This window comes from Homo sapiens, chromosome 12 (assembly GCF_000001405.40).
Source record: "Homo sapiens chromosome 12, GRCh38.p14 Primary Assembly".
Lineage (NCBI taxonomy): Eukaryota > Metazoa > Chordata > Mammalia > Primates > Hominidae > Homo > Homo sapiens.
The window spans coordinates 24222243-24248626 of NC_000012.12; the positions used below are offsets into that span (position 1 = coordinate 24222243).

At 37.4% G+C, this 26384-nt stretch overlaps 1 protein-coding gene and 1 long non-coding RNA gene across 22 annotated transcripts in view, besides 1 other annotated feature; one reads left to right on the forward strand and one right to left on the reverse strand.

Moving 5' to 3' along the window:
* The window catches only part of SOX5 (SRY-box transcription factor 5), a 1033147-nt gene that overhangs the window by 692739 nt on the left and 314024 nt on the right, over window positions 1-26384 (reverse strand). The gene's annotated exons all lie outside the window — the stretch shown is intronic.
* On the forward strand, window positions 1029-15723 carry SOX5-AS1 (SOX5 antisense RNA 1). 2 transcript variants are annotated; one of them, NR_120472.1, is made up of 5 exons: window positions 1029-1081; window positions 4919-5145; window positions 5469-5576; window positions 8317-8373; window positions 15580-15723. It is a non-coding gene; the product is annotated as an SOX5 antisense RNA 1 (long non-coding RNA). The 2 variants fall into 2 exon arrangements; NR_120473.1 differs by lacking the exons at window positions 5469-5576; window positions 8317-8373; window positions 15580-15723 and having other exon boundaries at window positions 4919-5266.
* Window positions 4753-5047: an enhancer, noted in NCBI's record as "tiled region #6359; HepG2 Activating non-DNase unmatched - State 24:Quies, and K562 Activating DNase unmatched - State 9:DNaseU". NCBI's record gives its function as "activates a minimal TATA promoter and a strong SV40 promoter by Sharpr-MPRA in HepG2 and K562 cells {active_cell/tissue: HepG2 | K562}" and the evidence as "EXISTENCE:reporter gene assay evidence [ECO:0000049][PMID:27701403]".

The following is a 26384-nucleotide window of genomic DNA, read 5'->3' on the forward strand; positions in this document are numbered from 1 at the left end:
GACCACCAAAAATGTCCCTATTTATTTCCAGGGCTATGTTAAGAATAAGCTTAAAGTAGGTCAGGGTAGAGTCTATTTTAATATTCCAGGCAATGGTTTATTTTGTCTTGGGCCAGAGTAGCAGTGGTGAATGTGGAATTTTTTTTTCTGCACGGAGGTTTTGCCAGTGGACTGGACAGGGGTATGAGTGAAAGCTAGGAGTCAAGGATGACTCCTACATGCTTAAAACGAGCAAATAGAAGGATGGAATTACTATTCGCTGAAATTGTGAAGACTGAATGTGGGTGGAGCAGATTTAATGGAAAAAGCAGGCGTTCATCAAGGCACGTTACAAACTACCATGTAAAAGCGATATATCTAGGTTTTATGCAAGAATTTCGCAAAATGAGGGAATGGGAACTAGTTCTGAACTGAAGGATTTTGTTAGAGCATGTTTTGGGAGGGGATAGGATTAATAGAAATAAGTAAATGAATAAATGATTACTGATAACTAGTTGTAATATATTAGCTCTTCCAAGCAATTAGATTATGCTAAGAAACATTTAAAAAATATATAGCCCAAAGGACTGAATCTAATTGTGGGATTTCAAACAATACATGGTATGGTGGTAGGCAAGCTTTTAACATTGTTAAAATCACACTGTGCCCATATTGCTTGGAATAGACACCCTACAGTGAGACTAAGGCTGAACCTTGGGAAAACAGTGGGTGATACAACTGTCCGGCACCCCATACTGACTAAGCATCACCACTTTCAAAACTGCAGAGTCAACTGGTCAATACATGTGACCTTTTCTCTATTCATGGGTAATTCGAGGATTTCAAATGAAAAGCCATGTCCAGATATTATTTAGATGTTTCTTCATGTGTAGAGTTGAGTCATCCTTCCAGACAGATGAAATTATTTGAATGAACACAATAAACTGATTGATACAAACACACAATTTAGAGTTGCTAGGAGGAAGTGGCTGATTGCATCACTGTTAGAACATTTTCCAGCATTCTATCTGCACTTAAGAATAGAAAAGCAGCATTCTGAACAGCAATGCTCATCACATAAACATGAAGTTTCCTCCAAAAGGTATTGAATAACCAAAGTCAAAGAGTCAGAAAATATTCATTGTCTTTGGATTTACATCACATTCATGAACACTGTATCTCAAGATTTCTTATTAATATTCCCCATGATTAGATACAAGTGAGGTATTTACATTCCAAAAGAAGTCCCAGGCCTGGCACAGTGGCTCACACCTGTAATCCCAGTACTTTGTGAGTCCAAGGCAGGAGGATTGCTTGAGGCCAGCATTTTGAGACCAGCCTGAGCAATGTAGCAAGGCCATCTTTATACTGAAAAATTTTTAAATTAGCCAGGCATGTTGGCATGTGCCTGTAGTCCCAGCTACTCTGGAGGCTGAAGTGGGAGGATCGCTTGAGCCCAGAAGGTTGAGGCTGCAGTGAGCTATGATCACACCACTGCACTCTAGCTCAGGCAATAGAGTGAGACCCTATCTCAAACAAAAACAAAAACAAAAACAAAAAACAACAAACAAACAAACAAACAAAAAAACATACACACACGAATGAGTTTTGCTTCCGTTAGAAAATGTCATCACGTTTCAGACTGACTCGACCTATTGTTAGAGATGCTTTTTCTGTGACACTAGTGGAAGAGAACTGGACGCAATTCTTCAGGCAGGTGGCATCTCCAATCACCAGTTAGCTAAAGAATTTAGAAGCGTTATGCAAAGGTGGTCGCATGAACTAAAGTGGAAAGGAAAGAGATCAAGAAGCAGCAGTGGTAGACAGATGCCCCACTGGCTTCGCATTGTTGTTTCGCTGGAAGGACATAGTGTGTCATAACGAATTACCATTAATTTGAGCCAGCAGTACTATTAGATTGAGCCCGGCAACCCAGGATGACAAACAGTGCCTGCAAGATCATCTAATGAGGGACAAGGCTGCTTCAGTTGTGCCGCTTCACTCAATTAGTGGACGAGGCTTTTAATGCTGCTCTGCACAACTAAAGCAATTTTGATTACTTAGAGCTAAGTCTCCATTTAGAATGTTTCGGAAGCTGACACAGTTTTTTTCTTTTTTTCTTTCTTTTTTTTTTCGCCTTTTTAAATATAAATTATCTAGAGAGTATTTGAATGGTAATAAGCTATTTGAAAGCCAATCACATTATTCCTTATTTTTGCTTAATATTGAAATATATTTTTTAAAAGTTCAAATGATAGAATTTACTCTAGCAAATGAAATGTAAATAAGATAGCAAATGATTAAGAATATTCTGAGGATGTATGTGTGTGTGTGTGGGTGTGTGTGTGTATGCAGGCACTATGTGTGTCTCTCTGTGCCAGAATTACAGTTGGTGAATTTCACTTCATCAGCCAACATTATCAGGAGGGTTGCATATTTATTCTATATATCCACATTTTTAAAAAATTTCAGATCTTGCCTTCTTTGGCTGGGAGTATTTATATCTCATAGCTTTTGATACAGGGAACTGATGTTTCTACTTCATTATTTTTTTCACTATGTCACTGCATGAGCACTGATAAGTGCAATGGTATGACTTATTTAATATTGTGATCATTGATTTATCTCATAACTAAAACCTTACCCACACAGAGGCTACATAGGCTGAATAAATTCCTTCCATTCTCTTTAGAAACACACAGGGTGCTCACTCTCTCTTTACACAGCATTCTCCCATCTTCTAGTTTTCTATTTAGTGTGTTGAATTCTCAGACTGCCGCCCCTGGGTGAAATTTTGCTTATTTAATTATATGGCCATTGGATAAAAGAAATTACTTAAGTGCTAGACACACAGTAGGTATCCATACATTTTGGTTATATCGAACACAAATTCTACCCAGATCAAAAGTATAAACCTCATTGTGACACGAACATACCCTCCGCTTTCTTTCCTTCGCTCAGGTGGAAAGGAATGTCAGGACCAAAATTTGAGAACATGAATCTCTAGTTATACCTAACCCATCACCAAAATCAGCTTGCCTACCAGTAATTTTCTTTAAAAGCTCAGTGCTTAAAGGAGGTCCAATACAAGCCAGTTTTTCAATGATACACATAGTCACATCTTTGTTTCACAAAAGCACTGTAACAACCCAAAAAATAAAGTCATTTAGGGAAGAAAATTGGAAAAAGCTTTGAAACTTTAAAACTTTTGGGCATCAGGAAAAGCCATTAGTTGAGTAAATTAACAATTATCAGAGGTTTTTTTTTTTTTTCCCCACTTAGAGTTACATTTCATTTTCTTAAAATAATTTCAACAATGGCTAATTTCTTGTCTCCAAAATAGTTAACACCAAAAGCACATGCTACACACTCAGGAGAGTTGGTTACACATTAGTAGAAAACTGTACTTCATTGTCATTGTTGATGTTGTAAATAAAAATTAAAGCAGAAAGACAATATGGTTCATTAGGAAGCAAGTAATATTTCCTATGATGGTGTTATATTTTTAATGATTGTAATGACTTACAAACTGGCAAATAATTTGCATAGATACTATATCCCCTCTTCCCAGAATATATAAGAAATCACATCACTGACTCAAATTATAATTGTAAAAGTAGAAAAAATGATTAATAGTTCCATTTATTCTCGTCTCTCGCCAAAAGGGATGGTAGGAGAAAAGGAGAAGGAATTCCTGTTAGTTGTAGGAATCAAAGAAACGTAAAGTTTAAGTATTAAATATAGTGGGATAGTACCAGTAATATGTACAAGTCAGTAGGAATCAATCTCTTAAGTGCTTCCCCCTTCACTTCTCTTTGTTCTTTAGGAGAGTATTGGCCTGAAGTACCATTAACAATGATTACCATTGGGCTTTCCATCCAAGTTAATATCTAACATCTCAGATATGTTCTCATCTTCGATCAAAATTTACTTTTAAAACATATATAATATTCTCATGGTTCAAAAAAAAACTATGTAAGATAACTCTGGACTCACTTCCATCCCCATCCCTTTTATTCATTCACACCCACACAATATACATTATTATTTTCTTGATTAAGGCTTATACTTCCTGTATTATTGCAGGAACAAGCAAATGTATGTATTTATTCTTATGTGCCCTTCTTTCTTATGCAAAAGACAGCATTCCATATATACTTTTGAAGTTTTCTTTAAAATTTCCACCTAAGAATCTTTCTTGGAAATGTCTTCCATATTACTGCATAGAGATCTTCCTCATTATTTTATTTATTTATTTATTTATTTTGAGATAGAATCTCACTCTATCCCCCAGGCTGGAGTGCAACGGCACGATCTCGGCTTACTGCAACCTCTTTCTCCTGGGTTCAAGCAATTCTCCTGCCTCAACCTCTGGAGTAACTGGGATTACACGCACCCGCCACCACGCCCAGCTAATTTTTGTATTTTTAGTAGAGTTGGGGTTTCATCACATTGGCCAGGCTGGTCTTCAACTCCTGACCTCAGGTGATCCACCCGCCTTGGCCTCTCAAAGGGCTAGGATTACAGGCGTGAGCCACCACGCCCGGCCTGTACAAATACTTCTGTAGCAAGAAACAACTCTAAACTTTCTTTAAATTTAGAACTTATATTAGGGGTTTCAAAACAGTGATTGAATGAATGAATGAATGAATGAATGAATGAATAAATCTACTGGATCCAACAGCAGTCTGACACAAGAGCTTGGGGATAGTTCTCAGCAAATATAAGCCTGATTTAGAGTTCTGAAGGCAGGCAGGTGTATTTAGCAAGAGCTTTTTCCTACTCTTCGGAAAATGAGACAGCCTGGAGATGAGGTAAAGACCACCTTTCCTGCAGTTCCTACGTAATGGACGTAATGGACAGGGTGCATCCTGGTTTGTGGCTTGAGGCTGCTGTTTGTCCAAGTAACACATTCATTCTGTTGTTGTAACCCTTACAGGAATGATGACTAATGCTTTGAGGAAACAGCAGACGTCAGACAGCAAGCCCAGAAAAACCTGCCAGCACCAAGAGGGTGTCCTCAACAGGCGCCTGGGGGACATATTATTCTAACTAAAGAGACCAGAGCTTCCCCAGGAAGGGAAGAGGAGAGAAATGAAGAACGTCTGTGTTCATGTTTGCCAAAAACAAAAGTCTGAGAAATCTCTGAGAGACTCTACATGGGAGGTGAAATTTACCTTTTCTAAGACCATTGTTGATTTTCCTTTTACCCTTGAAGTGGACTGAAATATCACTAATGGTGAGAGGAAAGCTCAGAGGTTCTATTAAAGAATGTGAAATAGGTTAATGCTTCTGCACCAAGATTTGATTGACTGTTAATACCAGGTTTTAAAATTCACTTGTATCATTTATAATACAAATACCTGATTCACCTGCATTCTTTTGGTGGGGGGCGGTGAGGGAACCTGGGGTGTGAATGGCCTCCTAAGCAGCAAAATCATTGCTAATATCAGCATTTTGCTGTCTCATCATCTAATTATCACATACAGGGCACTAATCGAAGCACCTCATTTAAAGTGAGAAAAGCTTTGCTAAGGGCAGATGATTCAGCACGGTATCCTTCGATGAGTACTGTCATCTCAAATCCTTTTTAAGAAGTAGGTATTGTGTAACTAATAAGTAAAATGAAAGCATAGAGTTTACTAATAAGTTACATGTTCCATTTTTTAAAGTCTCTGTAGTCACGATCATCCATTTTCCCCAAAACTGCCCTGTCACATAATAATATGCATACATACAAAACTTATTTCATGTTTAAAAGGCATCCCAGAGAGATGAGATGTGGATGGGTGTGAAGAGTGGATCTGGGGAACCGAATGGGTGCAGATGTCTCCACTGACAAAGAGAAAGGCATATGGCTTCCTTCCTCCCTGGTGTGCCCGGGTCTCAGAGAGAGCTCTAGATTTCCCTGTGATAAGCTTCTGCTTTCGAGCTCCACTGGGAAGATATTTTGTATGCCACAGAAAACCAAGATGTTTGCATTCCCACCAATCCAGGGATAAAGCATTTTCCTCATACAGACACAAAACATACAGTATATGAATGTTTAATGGAGGCTAAAACTGGGAGAGGAACAGAAAACAAGAACAGAGCAGGTTAAAAAAATATCTGGTTTCTCTCTATCAAAATACTAATTAAAATTCATGTTCATGGGGATGATTATACATATGTTTTTGAACTAAAAGTCTAACCTGGCACTATTTTTTGGCCTTATTTTTGTGACAACATTTTTGTCCATATGGCATGAAGTGAATCATTTTACATCTTTTTTTAAGCTCTATGTGTTTTTCTTGTTGTCTATTCCCTCTTCTCCCACCACACACACACTGGCAGCCGCTACCAAGTTACCAAATGCCAACTCAACCCTGCAAGCTGGCTGCATGGAGCTATATAGTACTGGCATCTTCCTTTCTTTGCAGAAATATTCTGTGTGTGTGTGCGTGTGTGTGCGTGTGTGTGTCTGTCTCTCTCACACATGCATGCATGCACACACCCCACATACATACCATTGAAGCACCCTGAATATTTCTCCTTCATTTCCATGCTAATCTTTCAACTCCTCGGGATTCTGCCCAGCTTCCAGTGTGTGTGCGGCACTGGCTGCTGGCCTGCTGCAGAAGGCCACACCAGCTTATTTGGTGCCTCTCACCCCTGGCCTTCCTTCTCCATGGCATTCTGACAATTAGTGGTTCACTTAAGAACTGCTATAAATTAATGGTTAATCGAGCCCATATAATTAGTTTATTCACAACAAAGTGCAAGACCCATGATTGTCCAGTGGTTCTCCCCCAACCCCAATTTCTCGTTTTAAAACTTACAACAATCCATATCCCCACTTTGGCAGACAGGAGAACGCCCCTTATCTGTAGTGCAGCCACACCACCTGACCGCTTGGGTTGTGGATGGCACACGTTTTGTACACGTGCTGCCTCCACCAGCATCAGGCACCGCCGAGTTTGTGTGGAAGGGCAGCAACTCCACCTAACAAATGTAACTTTAACAACAGTAAAACAACCTAATAGCTTAGCATGCCAGGGGGCTAATGTGGCGGGCCATTTACTGCTGCACTAAATAGCCCCGGTTTGATTCTCATTGCCAAGTGTCGAACTGAGAATTGCAAGGCAGGAGTAGCTCCTAATTCATTAGATAAAGGGGGTCATTGCTCATAGGGCTGGGGAAACTGTAGAAGCATAAGAAAAAAAAAATAAACAAGGCATTCCCTTTTCAAAGGCCATCAAAACCCAGGCTAACCATGGTCAGGAAAAGCAGAGGCTGCTTTCTTGGCACTCATATGCTAACTTCTAACTTTGGGTAAATGTGCTTTGTTTTGCAATGTTCATCTGGAAAGAGACTAGAAGAGGAAGGGATCCTAATATTGAGCCATGTCATTTATTATTTGTAAATCACTTTGACACCCTTGGAACAAAAGCAGCAACACAAGAACAAAGTATATAATTCAGCCTTGGCTGTAAAATGAGCCACTGACATGTCCCTGCCAGCTATTACGCCTTGTGTGCCCTGAAAAAGTTGCTATGGATGGTTGTGACCCGGCTAATAGGCTGGGCAGGAAAAAGACCGCTAGCAATAAAAGGGGGAACAAAATTCTTGTTAATATTGCCACATCTGATAATATTGTCTTTCTTTTTCATTTTTATTTTTATTCCAGGCAGTTATAAAGAGTTCTAAGTTCAAACTGCCCTCACTGGTCATCATAAGGTTATGTGGACAAAACAGTTCCCCTATCTTGTTTTTTAATAGAAAAGAGAAATCATCAAAAATTTCAAATGAGATCCCTAAAATGGGACATCTTTCTTTCCTGAACGTTAGCCCTAAAACAACTGATTTCTCTCATTCCTGCCATCACTCAGATTGGCCTTGAATTACCTCCCAATAGGCCTCCCATGTGCTTCTAGATGAGAGTGTGTAATGGGGGATCTGTTAATTAACTAGAAGCAAAGTTGCACGGTAGGGATCAAACACTGGAGACGTCCTAAAACTCCCACAGAGAAGATGAAATGCAGCGCAAACTTTAAAGACTTCCCGTCATTAGCTGAGACCTTGCTGCTCCTGGCCCAGACCCCTCCTGTTTCTGAGAACAATGAGGACAATGATGGCAGAAATGAAATAGTGCAGCCAGGAACAAAGGAACCAGCTATTTACCGGTAGAAAAAGAAAAAAAGCTGGGGGAGGGGTAGAAAAACGGATAACTTTCTTTTTCCGTGGTTCCTGTCTACTTTTAATTAATTTATGACTGCCAGGGAATTGCAGAGAGCACACCCAAGCACATTGTACCCCAGCTTAGTGTTAATATATGTAACATCTTCTGTTTACTCCCAGGAAAAGTGCAACCCACTGGAGAAAGAGAGGGACTCCGAGGAAGGAGAGAGAGAAGAGGTTGGAATGAAAGAAAATGGACAATCTGTCAGGCTGAACTTTTACACTTAAGATCAGGGTTCAAACTAGAAGATGATAAAAACAAAGGAAAACAAAGCCGACACCGTCCCAGGAGTAACATACCCTCTTAGATCACTGTAAAATGCAAGAATCATGCCCTGACACAAAGCTCAAATTTTGCAATTTTCAGAGGTTTCCTGGTAACTTTCATATAAATGTACATAAATATCATGTCAAAGCAAAAGCACACAGTCATGATATTGACTTCTTATTCTTCCCTGCTTCTTGACAAGATAAATCTAAAAAGTGGCACTGAAAATTGAGAGAACAGCTGAATAACAAAACCTGACTAGTAAAGTACTTGGTCCTCATTTTGCATTCCCCGTTTTTGAAGAATTCAAATCAGGAAATTTCCGTTATCTAAATCACAGGTTTCAATAGGATTAAGAGAAGAAATAAGAGAAGCAACAAGGTGCACAGAAAGCCAGCTCTGACCTTTGTTATTTCATATTGAAGCTCTTACTTTGAGATGGACCAGTAGATGAAGAGAGCCATTATTCAGAGGAGCTGCTCTTGCTCTTCAAATTTCAGTTAATATGACCACATTAGAATTATTTTATTTTTAAACTTCAGTAACAAGGCTCTCTTTCCTGTTTTCAACACACATGTTTAGAATAATCAGTGGAAACTCTGCAAATGGATGAAACAAGCAAATCCCCCAGGACTGTTTTGTGACTGATTTTCTTACTTCTCACCTATCTAATATGAACGGTTTAGATTTTGCTAAGCTCAATCATAAACTCAACTCTAGGGGGAAGAAAGTCTCAAGCATATGGTTCAACCAACTGAAAATGCTATACAATCAAAAGGAAGTATAGGCTAGAGGTTTACCATTGGCTGCTTGTACATTCTAACCAGTATTAAAGATTAACTCCACAACAAAGTGAAAGATACACTGTCGGTTACTCAGAAACTTATCTAATGTCTCTACACATATACTCACAAAGAGTAAGGGATTCCTCACCACGTTTTGTGATTGATACGACTATGCCGGTTACCACTGCTGATATGGTAGAATGGCATAAAAGAGTAGGCATGAAAGGGCCCACAGTTATATTCCTTCCACCTAAAAACTAACTGTGTGTCTTCGAAAGCATTATGTACTCTACTTGGTCTAAGTTTCCTTGAGGATGATAATTCTTCTGATCACTTCATAGGGCTGTTTTGAGTGTTGAATGATATATATCAAAGTATTTTTTAAAAATCCATTTACTTTCAGTTTGACTGTCCTGAACTGTTCCTAGAACAGTGCTGGATCCAAAACAAAAGGTATTCAGAAACTAGGAATCTACTTTAGGGTTACCAATTTCTTTGTGATTTTATAATTATCTTCAAACGTTCTGAACAAATTTGTAACTCAATCTAGGAACAATCACTTTCTAAAATCCACTTCAGATGATTCCATCTTGCCTTTCATTCACCTGTGTTTTTTCTTTTTTTTCCCTGTCCACCTACCATGGTATCTTGTGAGCAGGCTTACAATATTTTCTCCAAAGACAGTAATGGCTTACCTATTTTTGACTTCATTCATCAATTTTCATCTTCCTGTTTATGTAACATTCTATTCACACAATATTCTCTAAAATTCTTAATATACTTTGCTAACCTTTCAGAGCTTCTGAAATATGGGGATAACTCCAGAAATTTCCTTACATTTAACAAGAGTTCTATAGGTAGCAGCAAAATCAAAATAACAAAGAACAATGACAGAGCCACACTTATGGCTGTAAAGATGTAAGAACAATTTCTTGACACAAAGAGAAGCATACTAATACTTAATACTTTCAGGATTCAATTAACCAACAATAAGAAAGTAAATCTATTCCTGAGACAAGGAAGAATCCTTCAAGGGAATAATCCTGATCATTAAGATCAAAGTTGCTAGAGACATGCCCCAGGACAGGAAGGCAGGCCAAATATTGCTGATTTCTGGCTCTAAGAATGACTTGATATGAGTCAAACCTCCTGATTTAATGAATAATTCTATTGGTTAGATATCTTGGCAAAGGAAAAATGTATGTAACCTGGCTTTCATGGCCACTGCAATAGCTTTGAGAAGTACCTGCATACCACTCACTGTGTTGGTATTCTGTCCGGCCTATGTAGTGTTCACATTTTTAAAAAAGTATTTTCCACTATTGAGAAATTGAGACATTCCATATAATATCCATATTTCCGACACTTAAAAAAAAACTTGGATGATCTGTCAATGCTATGCCCACCCTTCCACATGGCAGCAATCTACTGGTATTAAATGGAAGCCACCATGTGATAAAAACACATAGCCCTTGGGTTCATCCCAGTCCTCACCAGTCTGTCTGGCTCCTGTATAAGTTGAGTTGTTGACACCTGAAGTTTTTGAGTAGGCTTTAGGGGATTGAAGTAGTAAAATATTCAGAAACTGTTCTCAGAGCATAGATTTCACAGCTGTTCCCTCTTATGCCTAACTTCATGATGAAAGACAAAAATGTGAAAACCGATAGAAAATACAAGATAATAGTCACACAAACGAAATGAGAAAATGGATAATGTTTAAATAAATGCAAGAAAAATAGGATAAGGGTTAAAAACTTTAGAGAACATCCTAACCAATATAATAATATGAATAACAATGAAAATTTAAAAAGCACACCAAGAAAAGCTAATCAATACAAATTATAAAATTGTAGATGATTATGAAGACGAAACAAATATAAAGAAAAATTTACAAGCAAAAAGTATGCCACAGAAACACAGAAACCATAGCTTAATACAATGAACTAAAATTATGTTAAGGAAACAGAGGCACAATTACAGAATTGAGGATCAAAGAATATTGTGAAAATGTGGAAAAGGGAAAAAGTTAAATTTAAGTGGCAAGTCAGACTTCAAAGTTGCACATACCTTTGTGTAAGCGAACTTTAAGTTAGCTTTGGACAATCTACCCACACAGTTGTCTTTCCAAATGAGGGTTTTCTAGAAGGCAACACCTAGTTGGTAAGGTTTGTGAGTTCTCTGAATTTGGGACATTCAAAATAAGACTGCAGTGAATGAAATTGTCAACGTTGCTATTTGTCCCTATTGGGATATGATGCAGCCAGCACAAGGAAGACCTATGTGCATATTTGGCATTAAGTAACCAGACAGGTTTTTTAATAGATCCCAGGAGAGAACAAGCTGGATAATAGAATCATGTGTCTTCAACATGCTCGAGGATGAACAGATCAAAGATCAGAACTTGTACCATGACTTTTATCTAGGAAAATGTACTCAAAATAATAAACGAAAGGCACAACTTGCTTTCCAAACTATCAAGAACAATCTTTAGGGAAACTTTGTTTCATGCTCTTGGTTCATATCCAATTTGGTCTGTCCAAATCTACACACGGAATCCGAGGCCAACTTCCTCATACTTCCTATTGTGCTAGGGCAGTTTCTGCCTACTGTTCTATAATGTGTGCTTGGGAAAAGAAAGATAATTTTAGTATCAGTTGAAAGGGTCATGCCAGAGGACCTATAATATTTCACAGCATAATTGAGAAGGCAAATATTTTGCAAAATCATATTCGATCATTTATTTTTTCAGTGTCACAAGAATCTAAAGGATTCTGTGTGCCAGAATTTCTGAAATTACTGACATTTACCATATAAACAATACAATTTTTAAAAAATTTCAATCAGTAGAATGTAAAGCTTCCTAAAATACACCACATATTTACCTATCATGTTAAAGAGAGAGGGCTAAAGATAACAATGTTTGTCACCAAGCCTGGAGTGCAGTGGCACAATCTCGGTTCACTGCAACCTCCACCTCCCAGATTCAAGCAATTTTCCTGCCTCAGCCTCCCGAGTAGCTGGGATTACAGGTGTGCACCACCACGCCTGGCTAATTTTTGTATTTTTAGTAGAGACAGGGTTTCACCATGTTGGCCAGGCTGGTCTCGAATTCCTGACCTCTGGTGATCCATCCACCTCAGCCTCCCAAAGTGCTGGAATTACCAAAGTGCTGGTGAGCCACCACGCCGGCCAAAATAACACCTTTTGATGGCTTATAGTTATGCTAAGAAATATCACAATTATATTTTGAAGGATTCTTAATGTTTATAGAGTTGTTAAATGCTACAGTGATGGTTCTCATTAGGGGTCGATTTTGCCCCTGCCCAGGGGACCTTTAGCAAAGTCTGGAGACAATTTTGCTTGTCCCAAGTGAGGTGGGAGTGAGAGGGGGTGCTCGTAGCATCTAGTGGGCACAAGCCAAGATTGCGGCTAAACATCCTAAAACACACAGGTCAACTTCTTCCCCATAAGAATTATCTAACCCAAATGTCAACAGTGCTGAGGATGACAGAACCCTGCACTACAATAAACTGGATCAGTCTATTACGCCTGCAGTATTTGCATGAGATTTTTGTTTTGTTTGTTTTGCTTTTTAAAATCTCCTCTGTACTGTCTCACACTAAAAAGACTTCGGGATGGCCCTTCATCTTTCCGATTTGCTACATTATTCTGCTGTGGCTCGGAAAACATTTGTTTCAAGCTTCAGGCATTCATATAGCCTATGAAAGATGACATTAGAGCTATCTTATGAGTAAAGCTTAGCAGCTCAGAGGCATAGAGTAATAAAATAATTTAATATTTTCTAAGCTTACTTTGGTTCATATCTATTCAATTAGCAGAGGTAAATAAAATAATATTTTCTAAGCTTATTTTTGGTTCATATCTATTCCAATTACTAGAGGTCACTGGACTTCAAATATGTGAAGAAAAGTTTCTGGTTTATTCAAAACTAAAGAACCAACTAACAAATGAAAACTCATAAAACAAAATAATAGAAACCCTACATTAATTTGTACTCTACTAATATGACTAATAACATCTTGAAAAAGGTTGAGCTAAAATGTGCCTTCTACTATGAGTAATTATCATAGCCAAATTCATATCATAAATAAGACCCAGAGGAAGGGCAAAACGTTTATCTTCTTAAGAAAGTATGCTTTATTATATGAACTTAATTTTTTATGAATTTCATTATAACTAGTGATTTCATATGTTAATGATACTTAAGTCTCATCTATCTCTAATTTTCCATAGTCAACTTTATCTAGTTTATGCTTTTGAGACTAATACAATTAAAATTTTTTTAAATAAAGCTACTTATATCCAAGACTTTCCTTTTAATTAGTCAGAAGTCGGGAATTTGTAACTAATAGACAACTTTGCATGATCCATTCTGGCAGTAATAAAGAAGTAACAGGCTGGGTGTGGTGGCTCACGCCTGTAATCCCAGCACTTTGGGAGGCCAAGGTGGGCAGATCACAAGGTCAGGAAATCAAGACAATCCTGGTTAACATGGTAAAACCCCACCTCTACTAAAAAAACACAAAAAAATTAGCCGGGCGTGGTGGCGGGCACCTGTAGTCCCAGCTACTTGGGAGGCTGAGGCAGGAGAATGGCGTGAACCCGGGAAGTGGGTTCACTGCTTGCAGTGAGCCTAGATCACACCACTGCACTCCAGCCTGGGCAACACAGTGAGACTCAGTCTCAAAAATAAATAAATAGATAAATAAAATAAAATAAAATAAAGAAGTAACAGTGACGAATCAGGTGAAAGAACTTGTGTCATTCTTCTCATATCTGTTAGTCTATGTACCTAGTGCTGAGAGGTGTTGCTTGATGTTCTAATCCACTACATTCATCAATCAGACTACACATTAAATTCATTAACTTAATGATATAGAGTTACCACCTGTAAATTTGAGAAACTGTGAAGATGAAATTTAGAATTTCCATAGGAAAAAGTTTTCAATTCCAGATTGTTGCAAGCTAGCATGGAAGAAATTGGCCAGGAAGCACAAACAGCTAATTTCTGATTCACTGCAATTGCCACCACAAAGGCCAGTCTTGGGCTGACTGATGTACACAGGACTATTTGGTTACAGTTTCCTTATCTTCTAATTAAAGACTCTGAAATGCAGTTGTGGAAACCAGGGAAAGATTATAAGCAAGAAGCAGAGTTGAATTCAAATTTGCAAAGCACTTGGTTGGCAATAAGACACCAATTCTTTGTTGAAGTGAATTCAGTTCTTGTTTCCAGTTCTTCAGCCTTTAACCACAGGGATTCTAGCCTGTATTTCTGTAATGATTCACAGTAGAGGAGCTTGAAGGCATGAGTGCAGGTGAAAGTAATAAACACGTGGGGGCACTGAGTGAAAGGTCAATCCCAGCCCCTCAAAAATAGGTCAGTATCCACAACTCAAAAAAAAAAAAATGTAGATCTGGATTACTCAGTGAATCCTCTAGAAGCCTAAAACAGGGCATCAGTTGGGAAAAGATCAAGAAACTTTGCCACGGTCTTTTGATCTTTAAAGGTGTACATGTCTACTAGAAAATGAGAAGCTGCCAAGAAATTGATAATTTTTGATGTAACGACTCCAGAATACAACTCCCAGCAGCTTACGTATGCTCTGAATTTACCATGTTAGTGGGTATGAATAAATGTTATTGGGCATAAATACATTTCAGACCCCTACTGGAAGTCAGGGAAGCTAAACCATTTGATTGGTATCTTAAGAAGGATCCCTTAATACTTCCTGAGACCGAGTTTCCCAGAGATGCCCTGAGTCCTGCTCTTCTAAGGTTTGGGGCACTAGGATACTCCAATATCCTACAACTTTTTGAAAAACACCTGGCTAGTTCACTGTCATATGGAACCAAATGAACCTTAGTTGATTAATTGAACTTTAATTGGTCAATATGAAAGTCGTTAATAATGTAAGCTTTATTCATGTATGTAGATTATTGGATACTAATAATAAACATTCTAAAAACCAGAAGTTAAAGTCTAATTTTTAATTTTCTTCAAAAGTTTAATTTGTAATTTCCTTCAATCTAACCTAAAATGTGAATAAACTCCAAGCCTGGAAGTCGTAAGACTTTTTTTTTTTTTCATAAGCAACCTGATAAGGAAAAAGGTAACAATTATGAAATATTTGAACTAGTCAAGTTGTATTTTTCTAAACATACATAAAGAACTTATTTTGTTTGCTATTGATAATATACTATTTTATTTAATTACTTATTTCATGTGTATTATCTTGTTTACATATATAGCCTATGGAAGTAATTATGGATTAACTTTGCCTGATATTTCCAATGAATTCTCCATAGCATCAAGCACAAATGATGATCTCCTAGGACAGTGGCAGCTTCTGAGAATGCACAGGAAAGTGACCAGGGAAAGAATGATTCCATCTCCAGGAATCCCTGGTGATCTTCAGAGCCCAGACAGGACCCTGCTGGGCCATGGTAACTGAGAAACTGAGAAGCAGATACAGTGGTCCCTATGTTGGCAACCTCAGCTGAAGAGGAACAACTCTCTCTATAATCAAGGTACCAAGAATAAAGAGCAAGTGCAAATTATTTATTTTCTTACTTTTAGACTCCTTCTAGGATAACAAAGAAAGAATTTTGTATAATAAAGGGCCATGACACAACTACATAAATTTCCAAGAAAACATAAAGTTGCTGAAAGAAAGGATTACAGATGAAGACCCCTTAAGAGTAAAATAGAACATCTTTTCTCTCCATGGTGGATAGCAGAGAGGCAGAGAGAAAGAGAGGGAAGGAAGTAAAAAGGAAGAGGAGGCAGAACTAAGACTCATCTATAGGGAGCCATGCTCTGCACTAGGCACTTCACAAGAGTAGTTTTTTGAGTTTTTTGTTGTTGTTTGTTTATTGCCCAGGCTGAAATACAGGGGCATGACCTCAGGTCACTGTAGCCTCAACCCCCCAGGCTCAGGTGATCCTCCCACCTCAACCTCCAGAGTAGGTGGGACTAAAAGCACATGCCGCCAATGTCCAGCTTATTTTTTGTTGTATTCTTTTTAGAGATGGGGTTTTGCCATGTTGCCCAGGTTGGTCTTAAACTCCTGAGCTCAAGTCATCAGTCTTCCTCAGCTTCCCAAAGTGCTGGGATTACAGGAGTGAGCCACAGTGCCCGGCCACAGAGTAGTCTTACTGCCGTTAGTTGACTTCTTATGCTGCTTGAACCCCACTGCCTGGGCTCTCAATTTCTACCTTCTTTTCTGACCTCTTAGATCCTACATAGCTTACATAATCCAAATAATGCACCTTGCTTTCAACACAATAGCAACCTAATTCCCATTTTGCACATGGCATGTTAAAGTGTACTCCAAAGCAGGACTTCTGCCCATCTCTCACATTCAATGTCACAATAGAAAGGCTTAATCACATATAAACTGCCTCTCCCAACGTTGTTTTATTTCCCAATTGTTCATTACCGGGTAGGCCACAAGAGCTAACAAAGGTTTGACAAATGAATAGATCTGCCTTTTATTTATAAGCATCTGTTGATATATTAACTACAATAGAAATACCACATTTTGGTCAGGGTGAGACAAAAAGGTAACAACCTTCAGAATCCCAACATATCATCATTCAATATTGCATTACAATTGCTGTTCAGAAGAGGTTCTGAGTGGAATAAATATGAGAAGTGGATTACTGCACTCTACTCAGAGGAAGCATTCTTACCAAATAATAATTGCAGTAATTGATATAACTATTTACAAACGCTTAGAGTATAGATGCTTGGGCAGTAGCTCCCTGAATCAAAAAAAGAAGATATAGTCTTCAAACTCACTAAATTTCCTTAGAGATGACAAGGAATAAAGTAGAACTGCATGCCACAAACATATCAAATTTTATCTTTGGCAAAAGATTTAAGGTTTTACATTATTGTCTGAAACTGCATATTCCGATATTTTTTTCCCCCAGACTTAATCTTGGCCTGGTGTGCCTCATTTTTATAGGACTTCTGAAACCAGAAATCACCAGCGTGGGGAGAGAACATTAAAGGCAGAGGTGTCTCTTATAAGCACAACGTGTGACCAGGTAATACTGTCTGGATTAGCAGCTGTACAGCCTAACTAAGCCCTGGAGCTACAATTATCTGGTCGCATTAAACTGAAATCACCTGAAAAACTTCACACTGAACAAGCCTTTGGAAATGTCTAATCTGCCAGTTTACACCCAGAAGTGAAAGTGGAATTCACTTGTTAAAGACAAGAAAACAAAAGTTTTCTGCCAGGAAGAGTCTCATCTTAGAACCAGTATAGGGTCTGAAGACATTTCTGCAATTTATGTTTATGCCATTCTTTCACTTTTATTTAAAAAGGAGATTTAACCTGACCATTCTCTTTGAAGCCGATGTCCCAAGTATATATGTTTGATGAGGGTACAGAAGACATAAGGAATAAAACTGCATTGCCACAGAGGGAATACACGGCTCCAGATACAAGGCTTTATGCTAATTTTAGCAAAATGTATGTATCTTTTTACATACATAAAGTTATGGCACTATATAAAGAGATCCTTAAATGTGACATACACTGAAGTCCTATTTACTGCCTGAGTATTCCTTTTAAAAAATAAAAACTACAAGTAGTGGTTGTATTAATATTAAACTATCTCCAAAATTCACTTTAGTTCTTTAACTTGTAAGATATAGCCAAATCATATGCTCAAAATTAAAACCCTGATTTTAGTACCAGATTACAGTTATTTAATGGTAGATCAAAAGCAGCTAATCTTTGGCTCCAAATTAGGACCTCTCTACTCTGTCTGTTGTAACGCCTCACTTGCCTCTGTTTCCTGTTCTTCATTTGTCAATACTGATGCTGAAAATTCATTGTGTCAGGTTGCAATATATTCTGTAAAACCACATTTCCCAAAACAACAACTACTTTTCCGTACAAAGATGCAATTTATGGCAATTTGGCTATGCTGTATCTTGAAGTCGAATATCAAGATTTCCAGAAAACAAAATTAAATTCTTAAACATGTACAAGTATTAAAATTCTTTATCTTACACATCATTGTCTTATTGGACAAATTCCTATTTGGGCAAGAATTGAGGTACCCTTTTCCCTCCTCAAATCAGTAAGAAAGAAATAAAAACACTTCATTTTCTATCCCAAACTAATTTTTAATACTATCACAAGACTGGCAAGATTGACAGCTGAAATTTACTCCAGGACACTTCCCTTGGTGGCAACTAGAGGAAATTCACTGCAAAGTTACATGATCCTATCAAGTGGCTGTTACTATCAAACAATATCTACGGTGAACCTATTGTTTTCCATACAGCCATTCTATTTTTCCATACCAATTAATATGCAGTGTAACATTTCAACTTGAGACACTTATTAGTGTACAGATTTTTCTTAATGACATCATTTTAAAATAATGTGTAACTCAAATATTCACAGAGAACAGGTTCCTAAATCTTTTCATGATGACAAGAGTTTCATTTAAGTGTGATGGTTTATATGTGGTGCCATGAAATAGAAAGATTGGTTTGATGTACTATGAATTCCCTCTCTCAGTTTTTATAACTCTAGAAGAGTAGAGAAGGCCTAAGCTTGTGTGGACATTCTTCTCAAGAATTTAAGGTTCATAGTCAAAATTTCCACAATTTATAAGTCAGTCATATTGTCTTGCAATTAAAAAGAAAGTGTGATACCAGGATATATCAATACATCCAAAACCACAAGATTTTTTCTTACTAGTTAAGATGAATCTAGATTTGGGCACAACTTAAAATAGTTTTGATATAGATAATGAGATTTTAAATACATGAGTGGCTCTGCCTGATTTCATTACAAAAGCCTCTTTGTTTCTATTCTGTGATCTTTCAGTGAGAATTTAGAACAGAATACTTTCTCTAAATAAGAACAAAATTTGAGACAATTTAAAACAGTCTTTCACTCTTCCTGGCCAGGAGTATGTCAAGAGGGTTCCTTAAATCAGAACTAAGGTTCACACCCAGAGAATATATCAAATGAATTTCCATGAAAAACAAAAACCATCCTCTGTTTTTACTATTGCTGTACAAGGTATGCTCTGCAAATCAAAACTCCATTCCTAGTTTGCAGCGTTCAGGTGACTAAAGCTACCTCTGGAGAAGACACTGAAAAATGTACTTCACTTTCCCCCTCAACAGAACATTCAAGCTCATTAGGCTGCTATTCAAAAATGGTATAGTTAAGATCCCCAGCATGCAGCTCTGGCAAACAAGCAAAGTTGCCATTTGTAGAATATCGATATTCTGGATTTCCCTTCCATTTATGTTTCTAAAATACAATAAGTATTGGTTGGTTCATGAAAATTAATCAGCCACTTAAATTTGTGACTGTAATTAAAGCTACTGGGAAAAAAATAAGTTTTCTTACTGTCTACAGTTTTAATTTTTAAGTGAATTTAGGCACTTAGAAACTAAAAAAATAAAAATAAAAATACCAGAAGCATCTGTTTTAATCATTTTTCACTATCCAGCTCTATGAAATGAAATAATTCCTGTTGTTAAGACTGCAACTTTTTCTTTGGGCTATTCAGCTGGCCATCGAAAGTTATTTTTTGTCTGTTTTGTAAAGTTATGTGAAGAACCTCAAAGATTTGCACAGAATAATAAACATCATAAAGATGGGAGGAGTATTAATAACATTTGAAAACCTTAAACTGAACTAATTGAGTTGCAGCTATACACTGGTTAGAAGCTATTTTTTGATATAGAAGTGGAGAAAAATGTTTAACTTGGTTATGGCTATAAATACTGCACCTCTTCTGAATTAAATCAATTTTCCTGATGAAACTAATTTCTTGCCTGAAAGGTATTAAAATAATTTCATTATAAAGAAAGTTTTGCTACAGTTCTGTTCATTTCCCCACTAAAGCAAATGTTTCAATGTATGTGTCATGACATGTAAACCACTTTTACAAAAAATGAGGACATTCTGAAAACACTGGAAGATAAGAAATAGACTAATATAAAAGATTCATTTTCAACTTTCTAAATCAACCTGATCTTTATTCCCACTGAGTTTATTTTCTCTTCTTAAACTATCCTATCCTATTCCAAACACGTATAGTCACTAATAATCAAAGAAATGCAAATGAAAACTCCAATAAGATATCACTTTTCAACTACCCAACTGATACAATTTTAAAAGAAGATCATTCTGAGTGCTAATAACTGCAGGGGGCGGTGGGGGTGGGTGCAGGGGGAAGCAGATCCTCATGTATAGTTAGCGAGAGTGTAAACTTGTACACTTTCTGAGGGCAATTTGGCAAAATGGGTGAATATTTTAACTGTGCAAGATTTTTAGCCCAGCAATTCTACTTCTAGTAATTTATCTTATATAAGTAACACTTAAGTGTATATGTACAAAAATACTCATTTGAAGTATCATTTTCCAAAGCAAATAACAGAACACAATCCTAATGTCCATCAGGGGAATTAAGGGTATATAACAACAATTTTAAGTGAGTGAAGGAGTGTCTTTATACATAGCAAGAGGATATTAAACAAACTGTTAAAGTGTTTATCTCTGGGAAAAAATGGGATTATGAAGGTTTTTGCTTTCTCCTGAATATTTTAAAAAATAGATTTATATTTTATAATCAGAAGAAGGTAACAAGAATTTAAAAAGAACCCCATGAACCTGGAACCCTAGCTCATTTACCTGATCCTACAACACATATTATTTAGATAAATACATGATATACCAGAGACATGGTATAACAATTTTAACAATCAAAATTCAATTTCTCTATTTCCAGTTTATAATCTGTAAAGTTGCATTTGTTTCATAGTGTGTATAGTGTTTAAAGTGTGTTTTTCTGTACATTATGAATGTATAAATAACATTCCAATTAGGGTAATGACAGTATTTTCTGTCTTGTATTTGTCTTAACTGCAACCAAGTCATTAAAAGTAGAAAGCTCAATAGCAGCTTTTTAGTAATTCAAAGAGAAAAAGAATTAACACTGAAGATGCTATTCCAAATATAAACTATATTTTAACCTTGTCCTATTCTTTTCATATAATCAGTCCATGTAAGTATTACTTTTAATGTATTGTTTAGATATAAAGTCATTCTAAAACCGTACATTGCCTTATAGAATAGTGGTATTATAGAATGATTTAACTAACCACTTATGAAAAGAAAAACAGGATTTTCATTCATTAAGTATACATGTGATTATGTACTTTTAAATTTTATATGTATTTATTATTATAATGATACAGACTGAAAGTCCCTTAGCCCAATCCCAGTGAGTCAAGTCCCAATACTAATTCAATAAAGTTTCTCCACCTAACTACATGTGGAACTTCCACCTGAATAGAAATATTCTTAATTTTCAAATAGCCAAAAATAGCAATGATTCTTCCCGGACATGATCTAATGTAACCTTACATTACAGTTCTGCAGTTATTCTGAATTCAAGCTATCTAATTTACCAATTTGCAAGTGGAACAAGGTAACCACTGATCACGTTAGGAAGATTTAAATTTTGAATGTAGGCATATTGATAAAAAAAAAAAAAAAAAAGAAAAGGTTGGACATTTTACACCAAATCATAATTTCCACATTCAAGAGCAGAAAGAAAAGGCTGGGGAAGAAGAAAACTTTACCACTTTGCTTATCGTACTGAACTTCTATAACTTTGAGCCTATCTGGTTTTCCATGTAATTTAGAGTAGATCCGCTTAAACAACATCCACGGGCGATCGGCTACACCTTGAATAAAGATGATTTCCTTTGAGTTGAACTAACACATTTGGGAAGCAATGGGGTCTGGAGATGCATGTAATGCAAATGCAGGCAGTTATGTACCCTGGTGGCTTCCTCTGTCCTTTATAATCCCACTGGTCTTCTTTCAGCCCCTCCTACTGACTGTGCTGCATATGTCCCCCCAGGGCCTATGCACCAGCTGCAGTCCCTGGAAAATTCTTTCCCCACTCCTCACATAGGCAGGAAAAAGGTGAATGGTTAAACACTTGGGTGCTAGCACAGGCCCCTAGGTAGGAATACTCTCAGTTTCCGGTTTCCCTCTGCCAACTGTGGTGAGGCACTATTGTGCCATCCTCCCTGGAAATTTGGAGAGATTAGATACATCAACACAGGTGAAACACTCATCACAGTGCCTGGGGCAGTGTAAGAGATCGATAAATATTAGCTATTATTATCAGTAATGTCTTTTCTTTTTCTCTTGTTGCCCAGGCTAGAGTGCAATGGCATGATCTTGGCTCACTGCAACCTCCGCCTCCTGAGTTCAAGCAATTCTCCTGCCTCAGCCTCCCAAGTGGTGGGATTACAGGCATGCACCACCACACCTGGCTAATTTTGTATTTTTAGTAGAGACGGGGTTTCATTCTGTTGGTCAGGCTAGTCTCAAACTCCTGACTTCAGGTGATTCAACCGCCTCCCAAAGTGCTGGGATTACAGGCGTGAGTCACTGCACCTGGCCAGTACTACCACTTTTATTATTCACCTAGTTATATCTGACTCATGTTTCAGGGAAGCCTTCCCTAAACATCCTGATTAGGTGAAATCCTCCCATTAGAGGGCTCATCACAGTGTTTACTCTTCCTTTGTAGCATTCATCATAGTCACAATTTTATATGGCTTTATGTAATTGTTTAATTGACACTAATTTTTCTTACCAATAGACTATGAGCTGCATGATGGCTAAGAGCATCATTTGTGTTTGGAGAGATTTGTGTGTGTGTGTGTGTGTGTGTGTGTGTGTGTGTGTGTGCCTTCTACTTACTATAGTAATCCCAACAACTAGGATAGTGCCTAGCAAATAACAGGACTTAGAGAAATATTTCTGAATGAGTTAATAAATTAATGAATAAAACTAAAAATAGGAAACAATTTTTAAAAAGAAGAAAGAAACTAAGGCAACACACTTTAAAAAACTTATAAACTGGACAACCTGACTTCCCTGAAATTAAGCTGGCAAACTAATTTGATCTGCCTATAACTTGATCTTAAATTTGTCCTAAATCCTGGGCACCTTAACACAAATAGGCAGACGGGGTAACACACTTGGTGGATTAAAATCTGATTTGGGGTCTTTGCCAGCTTGGGGGTAGGGGAGAAGAGCTGTGAATATGTACACGCACATATGTGTATATTATTATGGCCCATGTCTAGAATTGGTTTACGTGAAAATTAGCTAATTTTTAACAAGGTTTAAAACCCAACCAGCAACAATAACAAAATTTGGCTAGGTAATAACATAAAAGAAAGAGATATATCACATAGAGAATATAGAGCAGCTAAGGAAAAGAGCTGTGTGAATGCAGAACTCAAATTTAATAAATAAGGAGTACAGAAACAGTAAAGAAAAAAACTTGTTAGTGATAAAGAGAAGAAAATAACCATTTTAGGAATTTGTGTCTTAACTTGTGGAAATTTTTACTTATCCAAGGCAGAAAATGGCTTTAGTGTAGAACTGTATGTTTATTAAGTGTTTCTGTGTTCTGCTAAACACCAATATCACTGATTAATATCAAGTGTTCATTTCACATATGGACAAAGTTCAGTCTTTGGCCATAAAATCTAGACCTTCGACATTACACCACTGGTGTATACATATTTAAAATTTTGGTTTTAGTCTTGTTGAACTTTTTTTTTAAATAATGTTTTCTTATAAAATGTCTTAGTTGTCACATCACATTGACTATTTTACAAATTGCTTGCTTCAGTTTTTTGCCTAATTTTTTTTTCCTGTTGATGTTCTCAAATTACAGACACAGATTTTTTTTTTTTTAAAAGATTGTTGGAAGTAAAAGATTTTATGATGGTTATATCAGTCATTGTCCGTCATATTAAACCTAATGTTTCAAACTTAAAAAAAAATTCAAGGAAATTACAATAATAATTCAACACCAATGATTATCAACCTAGCATCATACCACCTGAGAGAAACTGTAAGAGACTAAGAGCCAGGAATACATTCTCATGTTATCAACTTTTTTTTTTTAATTCTGAAATTTTGGCTCTTTTTGCCTCAGTTCCTTCATATTATAAACACTGGCACATTGGCAGCAAATCAAGTAATGACTGGAAAGTGCTTAAAGCTTAAATATTCTTGGAAGAGAAGTAGTGTACAGGTGCAAAGTAAAAGAATTTTTAAAAATGTTTCCCACAAATTGAGAAAAAAGAATCATCACATTCTTTTTGGGCCATGTTTACACAAAGACAAAGTATTTTCAACACCATTATAATTGTAGGGAAATGGGCTTTCCTGGGGTTGATACTGCTCTCAATTATTTATTATTGGATACCCTAGTACTTCCAGAAAGCCTTGAGACAGCTTATAATGAAATACAAAATAAAAAGACAAGAGGTAAATGATAAAGGGAGAGGGGATTTATGAAACAGTCATACAAAAAACCTAAGAGAACAAAAAATGCAAGGTTTCTACCCATCACTTTCAAAGGAAAAAGATGACGGCATGTAAAAATCACATTTTAAAAAAAGAAACAAAAGCAAGCCTGTTTCTTAAGAGAAGAAAACTGTACCAGTCCTCAACGACAAGAGTGATTTATTTTTGGAGATGTCACAGAAGGGGCATTCATTCACACGAAATATATTTCCTGAGTGCCTCCGATGCCGTGCCAAATACTGTGCTGTGGGTAGGGACATCAACAGGGGGAATAAAAGGCCTGATCCTTGCTGGGAGCTGTTAGTTTAGAAGGGAGATAAACATTAATCGACCAATGAAAAAAAAAATGACTATGTGATTCTAGACTGAGATACTTCTTGGAAGAAAGGAACACAGTAGGAGGTTGGATAATAAAGAACCCTATCTAGACTGCAGAGTGAGGGAAGGTTTCCTTGAAGAAGTGTGGCTTAAAATGAAATCAGTTCGAGGACTAGGAGTTCTTGCAGCACAGGGTAGGTTTGGTTAGAGAGAGAGTTGAGTTTATGCTAAGGCCCAGGAATAGGAGAGAACTTGGGGCCTTTGAGGACTAAAAGGAAAGGCCCAAGTGGTAAAGAACAGAGCCTGGTGTGGTAAGGCTGGGGGAGTTGTACAGGGGTTGGATAAGCAGAGCCTTGTGGGCACGTTACATCTTTACCCCAAAGCAATGCAATGATCCCTGATTTATTTATTTACTTTTTTTTTTTTTTTTTTTTTTTGAGGCGGAGTTTTGCTCTGTCACCCAGGCTGGAGTGCAGGGGTGCAGTCTCAGCTCACTGAAACCTCTGCTTCCTGGGTTCAAGCAATTCCCGTGCCTCAGCCTCTGGAGTAGCTGGGACTACAGGTGCCCGCTACTACACCTGGCTAATTTTTTTTGTATTTTTAGTAGAGACGGGGTTTCACCATGTTGCCCAGGCTGGTCTTGAACCCCTGACCTCAAGTGATCTGCCTGCCTCGGCCTCCCAAAGTGCTGGGATTACAGGCGTGAGCCACGGCACCCAGCCAGCAATGGTCTCTTGATGGCTACTTTTTAAAAACACCAGAGACATTTTCTTTTAAGCTACTTCTTATACTGTCTCAAAGTTTAGAGTCTGGGTGGAGCCTTTGCGGAGCTTATCATTCAAGATGAAGTTTTACTGAACTTGTCAGAAAATAAATGATTGAGAAGGTTCTGGATTGAGTCTCTCTATTAAGGGAGACAGAAACAGCAAGAACAGGATTTTCTAGAAATACACTGTTGGGGAATTGAATGGGAAGCTTGCAGAAGAGAGCCTGATTTGGGGCATGTAGTAATTTGCCTTTGGAGGGAAAATTCATAGGGTGGCTTCCCAAGACCACCACACTCAGAGAGCCAATATTCCTGAAGGAAGCAGATTATAGTCTTCAGGAAGCTGGGCTGCCAAAAATTGGAAATCACTACTTTAATGAGTTTGAAGAAAGAAACAAGACGTGTCTTTCTTTTCTTCTTCTTCTTCAAGACTAGCTCTATTGCCCAAGGCTAAAGTGCAGTGGCGCAATCTCAGTTCCTGGGTTCAAGTGATTCTCCTGCCTCAGCCTCCCAAGTAGCTGGGATTACAGGCGAGTGCTACCACGCTCGGCTAATTTTTATATTTTTAGTAGAGACGGAGTTTTACCATGTTGGCCAGGCTGGTCTCTAAATCCTGACTTCAAGTGATC